The sequence below is a fragment of the Homo sapiens genome, chromosome 10 (genome assembly GCF_000001405.40).
Source record: "Homo sapiens chromosome 10, GRCh38.p14 Primary Assembly".
NCBI lineage: Eukaryota > Metazoa > Chordata > Mammalia > Primates > Hominidae > Homo > Homo sapiens.
Genome location: NC_000010.11, coordinates 90,158,723 through 90,176,225, shown reverse-complemented (window position 1 = coordinate 90,176,225; position 17,503 = coordinate 90,158,723). Strand labels below are relative to the sequence as shown.

Genomic DNA, 17,503 nt, shown 5'->3' with positions numbered 1-17,503 from the left:
AGACTACAATAAACATTTGCAAATATCCAGTTTATTTATACTACTATACATTCATCCATAGGTAAAACCTACAAATTCACTCAATTGGTAAGAAAAAAGATTGCAAACCTAGCATCTTCAAAAGTGGTGCATTTCAGAACTAGTCATGGAGTTAGATGTCTGACACTATTGCAATGAAGCAAAATAAAAGGGTCTATTTATATTTTAGTTCTTTCTTTGATGACATTAATCATATGTGCTTTTGTTAGTTCAAGCTTGGTTCAAGATGAATAGGGAATAGAGTAGACCTCTGAATGTCATAGTCTTTTACTTTTAAGGTAATTTACCTACCAAAGAAAGAGAAAAATCAGTATTTGCAGGTGCAAATTCATTCAAAGTCAAGTCAGCTACCCAAAATCTAAGTTGTTATAAGTAGAGATGCTATGCTTGAAGTTCAGACCCTAGCTATTGAAATAAATTACTAGTGAAGGAAGAAATTGATTCTAATTCTGTAAGAGAAGGGACCTTAGAAAAAACCTGTCTTACATCCCACACGTACATTTGTCCAGATCTGAGGCAGTTATGTGCCAGCACTTGCAGTTCGAGAGCGGGTGAATGTGTCATCTGGGGAGGCAGCTGGCAGGCGTGGTAGGGCACAGTCATTTTGCAGGTCATGGCATTCCAGCATCTGCTCCCTAGCTTTGCAGATCCAGAAAATACAAAGTGTCAGTGTACTTGTAGTTGATTAATCCCTGGGAATTTACAAGAGACCAATGTACAAAGCAGAGTGCCAATTTTGCAATTCACTCTAAGAAATGTAATTGCCAAGTGGTCCAGAATGTTTATGTCAGCAGGAGAACACAGCCTTGCAATGACATGAGAGGGTAGGTCATAATCAGGAGTTTGCCGAGTGAGCCCAGACTGGGAGCAGGAGGAGGAAGCTGGATGACCTTAATCACCAGTGCCATTAGGCCTGACACATCCATTTTCAAATTGAGATTTACTTGCCAAGAAAGCAGGACACTTGGATTCGCCGGCCGGTGCTGGAAACACACTGACAATTCTTGCTCACTGGCCTTACTTTTTGCATATTCCTTGCCAGACACCCATGCATCCTCTCTTCACCTACATTAATACCATTGAATACAATATGTGTTTCTTTTACAGTCAATGAGGCCTCATTATTAAGAGTAATGAGCTAATATTTATTGAGTGGAAATAAGAGCTATATGCATGCTAACCACTCATGGGCAATTTTGTTATAATACTTGTTTTGAAAACAGAAACTTGTTCCAGAATGAAATGATATATTAGGGAACAACTTGAACATAATGTGAATTTTGTTTGCTTATGCACAACTTTTTTCCTCAAGAAACACCAATCGAATACAGAAAATGGCACTCAGATGAAGCAAACTGCTTAGGAATACACAAAATATATGCAGGAACACACTTTGAACATCTACCAGCTGCCTCAGTTCACCACATATGTGATGAGTCACATTGTCCACACCCAGTGTTAAAACTTTTTGGCCAATTTCGGATAGTGCTGCATCTATCATGCCACAATAACTCACAAGCTGAACCCTATTGACACCCAGTTGCACAAGCAAACTTTGGATCTTTTTTAAAGTAAAGGGCCGTATTTATTGTACTATGTATGTATTTCCTAACCATTTAACACACATAAAACAGCACCACCATTTCATTAAAGTCCTATCATCTCTTTGCATGTGTCACTGATGTTTTAGTGTTGTGCCTCTAATCCCACTTTTCTCATGAGCCTGTGGTTTCTTGTGTGATTTTGCATAGCATGGTGATTTTTAGGAAGGCATATGCTGTGTTCTAGCAGAAATGACTGTACCTTATTGTCTAGTATAATTCTTACCAAAACTATCATTTTTCATGTGAGGAAAATGAGATTCAAAGAGTTTGAGTAATTTACCCAAGAATAACATCTGGTAAGTGGTTAAGCAGAGATTCAAGCTATCTGCTGTGACATATTATGAAAACCTTGGGTCTCTCATTTGATATAGGAGCCAGCTTATGTTTTGAGGTGGATTTCACCAAGACCTAACAATAGCTCTCATGTACTCAGAGGCAATGTAGTGAGGTGGTTAAGAGTATGCCTTCTGGAGCCCTGGTACCTGGGTTCAGATCCTGGCTCTGCTGTCTGTGACCTGCGTGACAATGGGCAAGTTACCTAACGTGGCCTATTGTTGCAAAATGGCCCCAAGAATCTCCTTCATTATAACCCTGCCTTTTGCAATGTGATTTGCTATTGAGAGACAGATTTTATTTCCTCATGCCATGAATCTGGGCTGGCTTTTTGACCTGGTGTGATGAACAAACTATGGCAGAACCAAAAGTGATCCACCCCCAAGGTTAGGCCTCAGGAGCCCTGAAATGCTTCACTTGTTCTCCTGGAATGCTGCCACCACCATGAGGACAAGGCCAGATTAATCTGCAAGGGAATTAAAGATCACATGGCCCACTCACCCCCTCCCAGATGAGGAGTCAATGACCAGGAATGTGAATGAGGCCGTTGCAGACTCCCCAGGCCCCAGTAAGCCAATTGCTAATTGCAGACACATAAGTGGCACCAACCAAGATCAGCCAAACCAGGCCCAGATTAACAGAATTATTATTTTACATTGCTAGATCTGGGAGTTATTTGTTGCATGGAGAAAAGGCCAGGTGATACATTTAACTTCTCTGTACATCAACTATCCAAACTGTGCAATGGAAAAAGTAACAGAGTTGTGAGGAGCAAATGAGTTAAATATATGAAATACTTAAAATAATACCTTAGGTGTTAAGCTCTGTTCTGATTGTCTGGTCCTCTACGAACAAAAATGGTGGATAAAATAATAATAAATTATTATTATTATTTCTCAAGATTCTGAGGGTTGACAGGGCTCAGTTAGGTAGTTCATGCTTGGGATCTCTTACACAGTTGCAGGCAGACAATGGCTAGGGCTGGAATCTTCTTCAGGGTTTCTTTACTCAAATGGTACCTGGAAAAGAAGACTCAAAATTTGGAGGCTGGCAGCTGGACCAACTGGAACTCAGACATCTCTCTCTCTCTCTCTCTTTCTTTCTCTCTCTCTCTCTCTCTCCCTCTCTCTCTCTCCCCCCACTCCATCTCTATAAAAGGTAATTTGAGTTACTGTATTGCTTACTTGCCAGCTGAAGATTCTCAAAGTGTGTTTCCACGAGAAATAAGCATAAGCTGGGTGGGCTTTTAGATCCTAGACTCAAAAGCCATGCAGTGTCACTTTGACACATTCTGTTCACCCAGGCAGTCAAAAGGTCAGGGCAAATTGTGAAGGGAAGGGATGTCCACTCCATGTCTTCATGGGAACTGTGTTAGAGAATTTGTAGATGTGTTTTAATACCACCATGATATCTCTATACGTGCATCCATAATTACATCATTCTCACAGCAACCCAACAAGGTTAGTTACAATAGTATGTCCATTATCAAAATGAGGAAACCTTGCCTGGGAGAGAATAAATAATTTGCCAATGATCACAAAACTGATAATTCTCGGAGCCTTCACTCCAACCAGGATGTTCTGAGTCAAAAGTCTGTAATTCCAATCTGTATGGGATACTACTAATCTTACTCATTTTGTGTAGGTGTCACAACCAACACACCTAGAGAGCAAAATAATCTCTGAATTGGGAGATACTCAATTATCACTCCCACATGTGACACGGGATGCGCCCACATACACACAAATAACTGATTAACCCTGTTGTTCTGAACCCTTGTTGCAAGCCCTGAACTCCACTGTTATAAAAATTATTAGTTTATTGGAAAGAAGAAGAAGAATGTGGTGAGGAATAAAAATTGAGAGTTCTCTCTCCCACAGAGGCTCACGTAGCTCTTGACTACATGGTCTAATCCTTTTCAGACTCCCTCAACTTATTCTTATTATACCTTCTGAGTGTGGTAAAGTGTGGAGAAAGATCTGCAAAACTACTGGTTCAGTCCAGATGGAGAGATGAAGAATTTAAAGGCAAAGAAAATGTAAAAGGCAGGGCAAAGGTAAAAAGAGGCAGCCTGGTGTAGGTAAAATTATCATAATTTTTTGCATCTATATAATACATAATGGCTTAAAAATCAGGTGTACATGCATTATTTTGCCTAATCTGAACAGCAAAAAAAAAAAGAGGGGGGGTATTTTATTCAACATCTGTGAATGGAAGAGAGAAAAATCTGTTTCCCATAGGCACACAAATAGGAACCATAGAACTGGGTCTGCAACTTGGTCATTGAGTCCAAGCCCTGAGCCTGTCCACCACTTGCAGGATGGGGTGGGGTATCTCAATCTAGTTTTGTTGGATATATACTGTTTGACTTGTTTATGGCTGAGTTTCCACATACTCTGAGGGGGTTGTTTTAAACGACTTTTAAGGTCCTTTCTCTGTCTGATGTTACATAATATGTGTATTAGTCTGTTTTCAAGCTGCTGATAAAGACATATCTGAGAGTGGGCAATTTACAAAAGAAAGAGGTTTATTGGACTTACAGTTCCACATGGCTGGGGAGGCCTCACAATCATGGTGGAAGGTGAAAGGTATGTCTCACATGGCAGCAGACAAGAGAAGAGAGCTTGTGCAGGGAAATTCCCTTTATATAATCGTCAGCTCTCATGAGACTTATTCACTATCACAAGAACAGCACAGGAAAGACCTGCCCCCCATGATTCAATTACCTCCAACTGGGTCCCTCCCACAACACGTGGGAATTCAAGATGAGATTTGCATGAGACACAGCCAAACCATATCAATGTGTCATGGTAAAAGTGTCACAGCTTGCATGAAGATGAGGCTCTGATGGCAGCAAAAGATCAAAATTACCCTTAAAGTTCTCTAAGAAAGATATCATACTGGAAACTGATATACATCACTCCTTAAGAACAGTTTTCCTCTTTGTGTTTTTCTCTGTTGGTAAGTTCCTTTAGTTGAGTCTCAGATGAAGTCAATGACTTTGGTTAAGGATCTCCCTGAATCACATTCAGCAGAAAGACATGCTCAGCCTGGGAACTGAGACCAGCAAAAGGGGCAATTGATTCATTCTTCCATGTAACTAACAGTCACAACCTCAACAGAATGGCTGACAGATAAAAACTACAGTGTAAATTGCTATTTAGCATTGGGTTATTGAATGTTTGTTGGTTTGCTGTTTTTGGTTTTTGTTTGTTTTCTTTTTTCTCTTTTATTTTCCTGGGTGGGAGGAAGGCTGGGCTCATAGGGATCACTCTACTAAGCATGATTCAATGCAATTGTTCAGCAAAAAAGATAGCAAGTTAAGAGCCACAGTTGAATACAGGAAGAAAAATCACAAAACTATATACATGACAGACATATGAACTGAGTCAGAAAGACCTGGATTGAAAACCAGACTCTTCTCATTTGTTGGTAATCTTGGAATCGGAATCTGTAAAATAGAAACAATAAGCTTGGAGCTGTAAGGAGAAGTAAATGAAATAATATGCAAAAAGTACTTAACACAGAATCTGGCATACAGTAAGCACTAAGAGAACCTCACTTACAATAATGACTTTTGTATTATCCCCAAAGGGAAAGAATTTGAAAGAAAGACATGACATAGCCACAAGTAAAAAATAATATATAAGCTATAAATGAAGCCAAGGAATACACAAAAATGTGTTCTTCCATCAAAAGAAATTCCATGCCTTAACCTTCAGATGAGGAAAGCAAAGGTTTTGTGAGTGGGTATTTTGAGTAGATAACACCTGAACATGTGCAGCTGATGTCTTATCCTACCTAAGTCCCATTTTGCATTATCCCCAAAGCAAAACAGCTAGAATGAGCACCCTGGAATAGCCTGAAGAGTACATACAATAACACCCCTGCCACAAGCTAAAGGCAAGAACAGAACTTGGTTTACCACTGCATTAGTTAGGAGCCGCAGTCTGATGAGTGAAGCAGCCTAGGGCAAGCATTCAAAGGTTGAAGTTCTTTGAGACACATCTTCCCTGAAAAGTTTTTCTGGGGGAGGGGCCTTGTGTTAGAGAGATAGCAGGTTTCTTGACCCCTTGGGAACTCCAGTGGGTAGGGGAAGCTACACATTTGAGGCAAATTTTACCCTAAACCATATTTCTTATTCTTATCCAAAACTTGATTCAGGAAAAGAATAGGATGCAGAAGACAGTAAAAGGAGAGGAAATCTGTGCTCTCTCATTCAGATGGGCAACCTACTAGGATCTAGTCTGTTGAATATTGTATGTGCCTTGGTCATGAAGATCAGATGACATATGGAGCAGGTGCAGGGGGATATTATATTTATCTTAAAAGAAATGGGTAATGGCAGTGTTAATAAGGTTGGGATAAAAATGAACTATTGTTATTCTGGGGGGGAAAAAAGGAAGAGAAGCTTTAAATTCTGGAAAACAAAAGATGCTGCCCCCTGATTCTGAGGGGTGGAGGGGTGTGGAAAGGTGTAGAAGGGCCGGGCACAGTGGCTCACATCTGTAATCTGGCACTTTGGGAGGCCGAGGTGGGTGGATCAGTTGAGGTCAGGAGTTCAAGACCAACCTGGCCAACATGGTGAAACCCTATTTCTACTAAAATTACAAAAATTAGCCAGGCATGGTGGCACATGCCTGTAGTCCCAGCTACTTGGGAGACTGAGGCAGGAGAATCACTTGAACCCGGAAGACGGAGGTTGGAGTGAGCCAAGATTGCACCACTGCACTCCAGCCTGGGTGACAAAGTGAGACTCTGTCCCCCCACCCCAAAAAAGAGGGGTGTGGAAATAGCTCATTAGAAGTAGAAATAATCTTCTAACACATGAGATCCTTTTCAAAGTTAAGGCTCCTAAGTTTGGGCTTGGGGTCCGTGACTGCTAAAAGTAACTACTTAATATATTAAAACAGTCACTCTCAGTTCTGCACTTGTGCTATTCATAAACATTCATTAAGTTTCAGGAAATGGCCTTTGCAACATGTGATAAGCAATGGAGTTGTTCACAAATATAACTACTCCGCAACCAGGTGTGAGGATTGCCCTTCCCTGTCCTCTTAGATGTGGCCCTGTGACTTGCTTTACTTAATGAACAGAAGTAATAAGTGTCACTTTCTGGCAGGAACTTTGAGTTGGTTTGTGACTTACTACATCTTCTTTCCTTGCTTTGGTAATTATAGAAAAAAGTATCAGGGTGGATCCTCCACCATCCCGAGTCCCTAAATAGTTACAATAATCAGGACACACCTGCTGACTTGAGACGGATATGCAATGTGAACAACAATACTTTCATTATGTTGAGCCATTAACCTTTGGATGATTTTTAAAATTATATCATGTTTTTAGCTTAAACCTGCCTAATCTGACTAACCCAGAAGTTGGTACTGTGAGTGAGGTAGTCCCTAATGAAGTCCTAAAACATGGAAGCTCGTGTCAAAATAAATTCTCCATAAGCCTATTTTCTGAGTGGCCAAGATGAACAGAACATGTAGCATGAGAAGGAATAAATGTTTCCAGATTACTCTGCTAAGATTTTTGGGTTATTTATTAACATAGCATGGATTTACCCTATGTTGATTAATATATTATGCTTTGAAATACTAAAGAAGAAAACCGTGCTCGTTCTTAGGTTAAATAAACGCGGAGAGAAAGACATGTATTCACTGTCTATTGGTGCATAATAAAGCACTCTTAATATTAATAGAAAGGGCTATATAGGAGCCCTTATGAGTACTGGAAATATCCTACAACTGATCAGGGAAGTAGTTACATATATGTACATACAGTCATGGGTCTGAGTCATGTGGGGACACATTCTGAGAAATGCATCATCTATTTTGACGTTTTATGAACGCTGAGTACATATGGACACAAAGAAGGGAATAACAGACACCGGAGCCTATTGAGCATGGAGGGAGGGAGAAGGGTAAGGATCAAAAAACTACCTATTGGGTGCTATGCTAATCACTTGGCTTATGAAACAATCTTTACACCAAACCCTCAAGACATGCAATTTATCTGTATAACAAATCTGCACATGTACCCTTTTAACCTAAAAGTTAAAAAAAAGAAAGAAAAAAAGAGAAAGTATCAATACATTCAAAGTTGGTGGTCATATGGTCCATATTTCCTGACAATAATGTAATAAACATAATCAATAAGAAAATGGATTGTGAAAAAAACCCACCTAATATGAGTGCATGTGTTAGATATTTAAGAATCCCTGACATTAAACAGCTTTACTATTTATCAAAATTCCATTTCATAGATGAGTACATTTGCTTCTGTTCATTGTCTCCTAAAGTAAGCAGACTCTGTATTCTCCCTCTTTCACAGTCGTGAGATTGCACCTAGGATCCACAGCTTATGCAAGACTAGTGTGACTCATAAACAGAAAAGAAAACTCAAGTTCACTAAATTTTACTTTCTCCTGCAAAGGTCTTCAGATGGGTCAGAATTGCCAAACCCCTTGAGTTTCTGATGACCATGTTTCAAAACCATTATTTTCAGTGAACAAGTCTAAATTTAGCTGGTGATTTTTTTATATTATCATTTAAAAAAAGAATCTCATAATATTACTGAATAACTGAATTACTGGATACTTAAGCACAACTACCTAAATCTTACCTTTAGCCACAGACTCTTCAAAACCATGACCTCTTTTATGCCTTTAAGTGACAATTTGGTTCACACAGAGGCCCAGGTAACATCTAAGCAATAATATTATTCTCAGTGCTTGTCATCTTTTCATTTACCTCACTATCAAGTTCTATTCTAGTGTCAATGCCAGTTTTCTCTTTCTCTGTTTCTTCCACATTCCTCCTTGGAAACCTTTTAATCAAAGGTGTTCTCCAAAGTGTGGAGAGGAAGCAGGATGACTTGAAGCCCTTTAAACCACTTGAGGAATTCCCCTCCACACTTCTTGCTTTCAGAAAGGAGTCCTCAAATCTAAAAGGATAGCTTTAAAGCTTTACACATAGCTGGCAACCATGACCCTTTTCATTTAGTTTGCCTCAATTTTTAAGTGCACTTTTCTCTATTTTTAGACCAAAAGCAACACACTGTCTCTAAGGCTTTCATTTCTTACTTTTATTTTATTTTCTACCTCTCTTATTTTTTATTTTCACTAAGCCTTTTTGTTAAGCACACTTCTCTGTTCTACATTCATATCCTCAAGAAGTAAAGAAGTAACTGGGGAAAAGAAGGATGAGGAGAAAAAGGAAAAAAAAAGAATGGGGAAAAGTAAGTATTGTGATAAATTATTTAGAGTAAACAGGAACTGTGAGAAGAGTGAATAATAACGTTTTGAATGGATTTTAGTGTATGTAATGGGAAGAGAACATAAAGAAAGAAAAAAGAATCACAGCGAGAGTAAATAGAGCAGAATAAAATAGTAAAATGGAGTTAGGATTCACTTGGTGGTGTGATCATCAACTAAGTTTATAAATTGTTACTATTGGGCAAACCGCTGGGCTTGGGAAACATTGCCAAGAGAAAATGCTTATTCTGAAAACAAATTCAAAAGTAATCCCATTTACAATAGCCACACATAAAATTAAATTCCTAGGAATTAAGTTAACCAAAGAAATGAAAGCTCTCTCTAATGAAAACAATTAAACACTGATGAAAGAAATGGAAGAGAACACCAAAAAAAATCATATTCCATGTTCATGGATTGGAAGAAGTAATATTACTAAAATGTCCATGCTACCCAAAAGCAATCTACAGATTCAATGCAATCCCTATGAAAATACTAATGACATTCTTCACAGAATAAATGATCATAAAATTTATATGAAATCACAAAAGGCCCAGAATAGCCAAAGGTATCCTAAGCAAAAGGAACAAAACTGGAGGAATCACATTACCTGACTTCAAATTATACTACAGAGCTATAGTAACCAAAACAGCATGGTACTAGCATAAAAACAGACACATAGACCAACAGAACAGAATAGAGAACCCAGAAATGAATCCACACACCTACAGTGAACTCATTTTTGAGAAAAGTGCCAAGAACATACACTGGGGAAAAGACAGTCTCATCAATAACTGGTGCTGAGAAAACTTGATATCCATATGCAGAACAATACAACTAGACCCCTATCTCTTGCCTCAAAAATCAAATCAAAAGTAATTAAAGAATTAAATCTAAGATCTCAAACTATGAAACTACCACCAGAAAATATTGGGGAAAATCTCCAGGACATTGGTCTGGGCAAAATTTCTTCAGTAGTATAATACCTCACAAGCACAGGCAACCAAAGCAAAAATGAGCAGATAGGATCAATCAAGTTAAAAAGCTTCTGCACAGCAAAGGATACAATCAACAAAGTGAAGACACAGCTCACAGAATGGGAGAAAAGATTTGAAAACTACGCATCTGACAAGGGATTAATACCCAGAATATACAAGGAGCTCAAACAATCTACAGAAAAAAAAAATTTAATAATCCAATCAAAAAATGGGCTAAAGATTTGAATAGACATTTATCAAAAGAAGACATAGAAATAGCAAACAAGCATATGAAAAGGGGCTCTACATCACTGATCATCAGAGAAATGCAAATCAAAACTACGAGATATTATCTCACCCCAGTTAAAATGGCCTATATCCAAAAGACAGGCAATAACAAATGCTGGTGAAGATGTAGAGAAAAGAAAACCCTCATAAACTGTTCCTGGGAATGTAAATTAGTACAACCACTGTGGAGAACAGTTTGGAGTTCCTCAAAAAACTAAAAATTGAGCTACCATATCATTCATCAATCTCACTGCTGGGTATATGCCCAAAAGAAAGGAAATCCATACACTGAAGATATATCTGCAGCTCTGTGTTTGTTGCAGTACTGTTCATAATAGTTAAGATGTGGAAGCAACGTAAGTGCCCATCAACAGATGAATGGAACAACAAAAGTGGTACATACATTATTCAGTACTATTCAGCCAAAATAAATGAAATCCAGTCATTTGTAACAACATGGATGGAACTGGAGACCATTATGTTAAGTGAAATAAGCCAAGAACAGAAAGACAAACATTGCATATTCTCACTTATTTGTGGTATCTAAAAATCAAAACAATTAAACTTATGAACATAGAGAGTAGAAAGATGGTTACCAGAAGCCAAGAAGGGTAGTAGGGGGCCAAGTGGGGTAAATATGGGAATGGTTAATGGGTACAAAAAGTAGTTAGAAAGAACAAATAAGACCTAGTATGTAATAGGACAACAGGGTGACTATAGGCAATAATAACTTAATTGTACATTTTAAAATAACTTTAATAATGTAATTGAATGGTTTGTAAGGTTCAATTGAATGGTTTGTAATTGAATGGTTTATCGAAGGATAAATGCTCCAGGGGATGGATACCTCATTCTCTCTGATGTGCTTATTTCACATTGCATGCCTGTGTTACAACATCTCATGTTTGATATATTTACCATATATATATACACACACACACACAAACACACCGATACACCGACTATGTACCCACAAAAATTAAAAATTAAAAAAACTTAAAAAGAAAATGCTTACCCTTATGACACATAACAACTTGCAACTTCTCATTGCATTTTTTAGTGAAAATGAAACGTCTGATTCTACTTACTTCAATAAAAATAGCTTTGATACAAGTGAGCAGTGCAACTGATAGGGACAGCAACCAAAACAATGACTCAGTTTCTTCTCACCTGAAAACTCTGTGACTTAACTTACAAAACCATACTGTTTTATAATTACTTTTGTATCTAATGTAATGTACATTTGGAACAAGATCCCTCTTTGACTCATATCAACACAATTATTTCAGGCAGGAAAATGCCTGACTACTCAAATTCTTCTTCCCTTTGTTTCTGGTGTGTATTAAGTGGTTAATATATACATTCCTTTATACTACATGCTAAAAATGGCTTTAAAATAAACAGCCTTATTTCTTGTACCTCTGCTTCAATTTTAGTTTCAGAGAAAACAAACAAATAACAATGTAATCTGATATACAATTGCAGTGGACCTACATTGTTATCTGTTTTTTACCCTTCCTTCTATTTTCTAGTAACAGCATTCCTCTCTGCCTTGGAAGAACTGGCTCTCTCATTCTGGTGAATCCCTACCTGGTTGTGGCAGGGCCTCCAGAACAGTTATCCTCTTCCTGTAAGCCCATTCTGTGTGAAGGGGAACCACCGACACAAACATCACCAATTTGGTCCACTCTTCAGCAGACACACACTTGAAGTATAGCAAGGGAAATGACCGATGTCACTGTGTGTGATTCAAAAGTCCATGTTTAGGATGGGAAGATGATCTGGCTGCGACATCTGTTACCCCATTGATTCGGCTGATCTGGCTGGGTTGATTGGGCTGATCCAGCTGGCTAGGCGAGTGACCCCTTCCTCTGTCACCGTGCCATGTGTGTCCCTCCCGAAGCTGTGGACTCAGTGAAAGAAATCGATCATCCCCGATAGAAGAGGACCGGTTTTCCGTCAAAGGAATACGAGTAGCTGCACTATTCTGCTAGAACCTCCAAACAAGCTCTCAAAAATCCATGTTTAACTTGATTTTTCTACCGTAAACCTCATCTATTTTTTAAATTCAACAATTCAACAATGCTTAGCCCTCACACTTTTTTTTTTCTTTTTGGAGACAGTCTCACTCTGTTGTGAAGTGACTGAAGTGCAGTGGCGCAATCTTGGTTCACCGCAACCTCCGCCTCCTGGGTTCAAGCGATTCTCCTGCCTCAGCCTACTGAGTAGCTGGGATTACAGGCATGCACCATCACTCCTGGCTAATTTTTGTATTTTTAGTAGAGAAGAGGTTTTGTCATGTGGCCAGGCTGGTCTCAAATTCCTGACCTCAGGTGATCCGCCTGCCTCAGCCTCCCAAAGTGCTGAGATTACAGGTGGAGACACCATGCCTAGCCAGCCCTCACGCTTTTTAAACAACCATGTGAAAAGTCACAACAGAACGTTAATCTACGTTTTTTCTATTCTTACACATGCTCTACAGGTTGAAGAAACCTGCTCCCACCAAGAGAAGACAATTCTGCACTAGTAACAGCACAGTCCTGCCCGGGTTTGCCTGGAGTGAAAGATATTTATGAATTAATGGCCAAAAGCAACAGAGGTATTACAGATAAGAATGAGAAAAACATAAATAGTTAACTAGCTTAAGTCAATCGTTTAATAATGTACACATATATGTGAACATTACTTTGCACACCGTGTGTACAATTTTTATTTATCAATTAAGGAAAAAATAAGAAATAACAGATTAAATCTTGTATGCACTGTTATACCAGAATAGAAGAATGGTTACAGTTCAAATGAGCAGCTCAAGGTATGGTTTTCAAAACAATCATTCACAGTTCATAAAAACACTTAGGAATCCTTTCCCAAAAAATTATTTTTATATACATACAATTCACAATCTTGATGAAGTAGAATTATTTAACTATTCACCCACAAAATTGCCTAACAGTCTTATGACTGGATGTATCCAAATAAGTCATTGAATCCTGAAACTTGCAAACCTGACTATGCACCACAGTCATCTGTGGAATTTTTTTAAACTTCAATTTCCAATTCCATCTGCCCTTTATTATTTTTTTTAACAAATTCCATATGTAATTAGGATGTACATGCAGGCTTGAGAATTACTGGTGCAGTCCATTTCTTACCAAATTGTTAATCTTCCATCTTGAGAAATTGAAACTCCAGAAGTGCAGATGTTTGCAGTAAGAGTCGCCTTCTTACTTATCATTTAAGCATTTCATTTTAAGAACACGGAGGCTCTCCCTGATGGTTATAAGCTGCTGAGACCATTTTGTGGGTATGAAGTACATTACTAGAGCAGTTATATGTTGGCTGTGGGGCTTTATTTTGTATGATAGTAAAACTATGAATCAGAAGCACCAAATCTTTCAACTACTCCTTAAATGTAAAATACTGGGTAAATTTCACTTTTTAAAAAATGGTATTAATTTTTTCAGATGAGTTGGGGACCATCTGATAAAATTTAGCATGTATGGTGAGAGTCAAAAATGAAATTTTTTTTTCCCCCAGAACAAGTTGAATTTAACTTTTTGAGAGTAGTGAGTTATTAAAACTCTGGCCTTGGCAGAGAGAGAGAAAGTGGAGATTCTTCCCCACTAAGGAGAGGAGAAACATAGCAGGAAATGCACAGGCAGGAGGAGAGCAATTCACGTACATCTCAGACAGAACCTGTCGATCCCCCGACCCTTCTTTGTTTCCTACTTCCTACATTAAAGTCATTGCCCAATCACACCACTCTTTCCCACTGCAATGCCTTTGAAGATTCTTTACCTGTTCCTTGAGGAACTACTTGACTTTTAAGACCCAGGTAGAATGTTTTGTCTTCTGTGGGGGTTTATTCTGTTCTCCTGGTCTTTCTTTTTCCCCTCAAGGTCTCTATTGAGCTCATAAAACATTTGCGGTGTAACTATTTGGTTCCATCTCAGCCTTCCCAATGATTATCAATTACATGAGAATATCTCTGTATTTCCAATTCCTAGCACAGTGCCTGGCATCCAGAAAATGCTGAGTAAATTACTCATTGAATAATTAAGAAATTTTTTAAAAATTAAATTTCCATTTCACTAGACCTAATTTGCTCTAATTGCCTTGAAAAGTGGCAGCCAGAGAGGGAGAGCTAGGTGTCCCCTTGGGGTCCACGATACCACAATAAGTCTGCTGACTTTTTGAAACAAGAGACCTAAGTCTCGGTCTGGCATCTGCATTCAGCAACTTGCCGACAGAATTTTGTGACTGAGTTGCTGTGGTTTGGATCCAAGAAGAGACAGAGAGGAAGCCTGTAATGAAAAACCCAGGAGTGTGTTACCAGGTGAGCCAAATGACAAGTCTCAAAACCTAAGCGTGTCAGCTGTAGTCTGAGAGTAGACATTGGTCCTGCCTCAAGATCAAGAGGAAGGCTGGGGTCAAAGGTCAGGGACATAGCCATTGATCTCAGGAGAGAAACTATATAGGGTACAGAATACTGGAAAAAATGGTCTAGTATTCCTAGGGCCAAGAGACTGAAATAGCCAGAACTATTTTGTTAGAAGTGCTAAAATCCCATAACAAATGTAACTACAAAAGAAGACGTGGAGGAATACTGTTTTTTCCTTTGGAACCCAAAGTCCCCAATGAGTGTCTTTATAATTTACCATACTGTCTCTTTTCCCCACTAGACTGTGAGTCCTTCAATAAACCCACTTCAGCTAATTCCTCATTCCATCTCCAAGATAGAGAATGGATGCATAAGTAACCCAGCACATTGTTTGACACTTAGTTTATAACAACTTTATTTCTGCTGCCACACTGACCTCTAAGAATGAGGAAGCCTCTAGCTTATATCCTCTAAGTCCTAGAGCTAAAGACTAGATTTTAACCCAATGTGTTTTACCAACTTCAGGTTATTTCTAGGAGTTCCTTCATTCTGTTGTTTTATTTTTTTTATTTTTTTTTGAATTTGCAAAACAGTTTATTGCGGGGTTCACAAGGCACTTCAGTTCAGGAAACCTGAAGGGGTATGGAGACTGATGAGGACAGATGCTGATACCCAGGGTACATTTTAAGACATTTTTCTCCTTAATCTGTCTGCTGACTAGAATGTCATAGATTGTAGAAATGAATAGATATGGAGAGAATAGGGAAAAAAAACACAGAAAGACTACTTTTTTCTGGGTGATGATATATTCAAGCAATATTTTATCTAGTGTCTGAGCAAGTAAAAGCTTATTCAATTACACTACAATTTTGAAAGGAAATCTGCTGCTGTACAGACTTCTCATTTCTCCAGACAAGCTTCAATGTGCTGGCTGGTGTTTGCTACAGCACCTCTGATACAGTGCAAGATTTCTAAGTGGCAGAATGATATCACCGTTTTGCAGAAGTTAGCTGCACTTTTATTGAAAAAAAAAAAAGCTATCTGGTGAGATTGAGCAGTAACTGCATATGCATGAAATGCCCTAGTAGTCAAAGAACTGGAAAGTCTCTACTTTATGAAATTGACTTACACAGTAAAGAATGAAAATTCCTTCTTTTCTCCTAACATTAAATATCATTAAATGGGCACTATAAAATATCATTACTTTCCTTTCTTGCTTTTTATTGCTACTAGTCAAGACATAAGGTTATTCTTGACAGTAAATGAACATCTCCTCCTGTAGCATTTCTTCAAAAGGAGAATATCGAATTCTTAGTTATCTCCTCATTCATTCCATGTGTTTAATCCATTGATTGGTATTTTATGGCAGATATTGGATATGGAAAGATGAATAAGTCAGAGTACTGAACTTCAGGGAGCTCAAAGTCTACTAAGAGAAAATAGACCAAATAAATAGCCAGCATATACTATCACGAGTGCAACAATAAAGATTTTACAATGTAATGTGGTATCACAAAAGAAGAAATCTCTACCTTTTCCTGGGTGGGGAGATGGGATTTGGGAGGGCTAGTCTTGTCCAGAAATTATCATGGGAAATTCACCTGCAATGCATTGGGAATTTTGGAGGCACTCACTCTCTGGGGCCTCCTAAGGTGAATATATTTCTATTCAAATAGTAAATTAATAAAATGGTTGTGTAATACAAACTATACATGATTCTGATAAAATGAAGATCTTGAATTTATTCATTTGGCATGAACTATACCAACAGTCTGGACAAACTAGGCCCAACAAATAAATTACTAATTTAATTCACACAAAAGCAAGGTGCCTTAACCCAATCACTATAGAAATTGTTTCTCCAGGAGGGGAGGAGCCAAGATGGCCGAATAGGAACAGCTCTGGTCTACAGCTCCCAGCGTGAGCAACGCAGAAGACGGGTGATTTCTGCATTTCCATCTGAGGTACCGGGATCATCTCACTAGGGAGTGCCAGACAGTGGGCGCAGGTCAGTGGCTGCACGCACCATGCGCGAGCAAAGCAGGGTGAGGCACTGCCTCACTCGGGAAGCGCAAGGGGTCAGGGAGTTCCCTTTCCTAGTCAAAGAAAGGGGTGACGGATGGCACCTGGAAAATCGGGTCACTCCCACCCGAATACTGCGCTTTTCCGACGGGCTTAAAAAACGGCGCACCACGAGATTATATCCTGCACCTGTCTCAGAGGGTCCTATGGCCGCGGAGTCTCGCTGATTGCTAGCACAGCAGTCTGAGATCAAACTGCAAGGCGGCAGTGAGGCTCGGGGAGGGGCGCCCACCATTGCCCAGGCTTGCTTAGGTAAACAAAGCAGCCTGGAAGCTCGAACTGGGTGGAGCCCACCACAGCTCAAGGAGGCCTGCCTGCCTCTGTAGGCTCCACCTCTGGGGGCAGGGCACAGACAAACAAAAAGACAGCAGTAACCTCTGCAGACTTAAATGTCCCTGTCTGACAGCTTTGAAGAGAGCAGTGGTTCTCCCAGTACGCAGCTGGAGATCTGAGAACGGGCAGACTGCCTCCTCAAGTGGGTCCCTGACCCCTGACCCCCGAGCAGCCTAACTGGGAGGCACCCCCAAGCAGGGGCACACTG

At 39.2% G+C, this 17,503-nt stretch overlaps 1 long non-coding RNA gene and 1 pseudogene across 1 annotated transcript, besides 1 other annotated feature; one reads left to right on the top strand and one right to left on the bottom strand.

Annotated features, from left to right (window-relative positions):
- Positions 1-4,418, bottom strand: LOC105378426 (uncharacterized). The gene is made up of 4 exons (XR_946198.3): positions 3,161-4,418; positions 2,931-2,995; positions 2,786-2,821; positions 1-678 (listed from the first exon to the last, which is right to left on the bottom strand). It is a non-coding gene; the product is annotated as an uncharacterized LOC105378426 (long non-coding RNA).
- RN7SKP143 (RN7SK pseudogene 143) lies at positions 12,266-12,527 on the top strand (annotated as a pseudogene).
- Positions 16,581-17,080: an enhancer, noted in NCBI's record as "H3K4me1 hESC enhancer chr10:91918903-91919402 (GRCh37/hg19 assembly coordinates)". NCBI's record gives its function as "activates a minimal SCP1, AML or CMV promoter by ChIP-STARR-seq in naive H9 embryonic stem cells {active_cell/tissue: H9 hESC(naive)}" and the evidence as "EXISTENCE:reporter gene assay evidence [ECO:0000049][PMID:30033119]".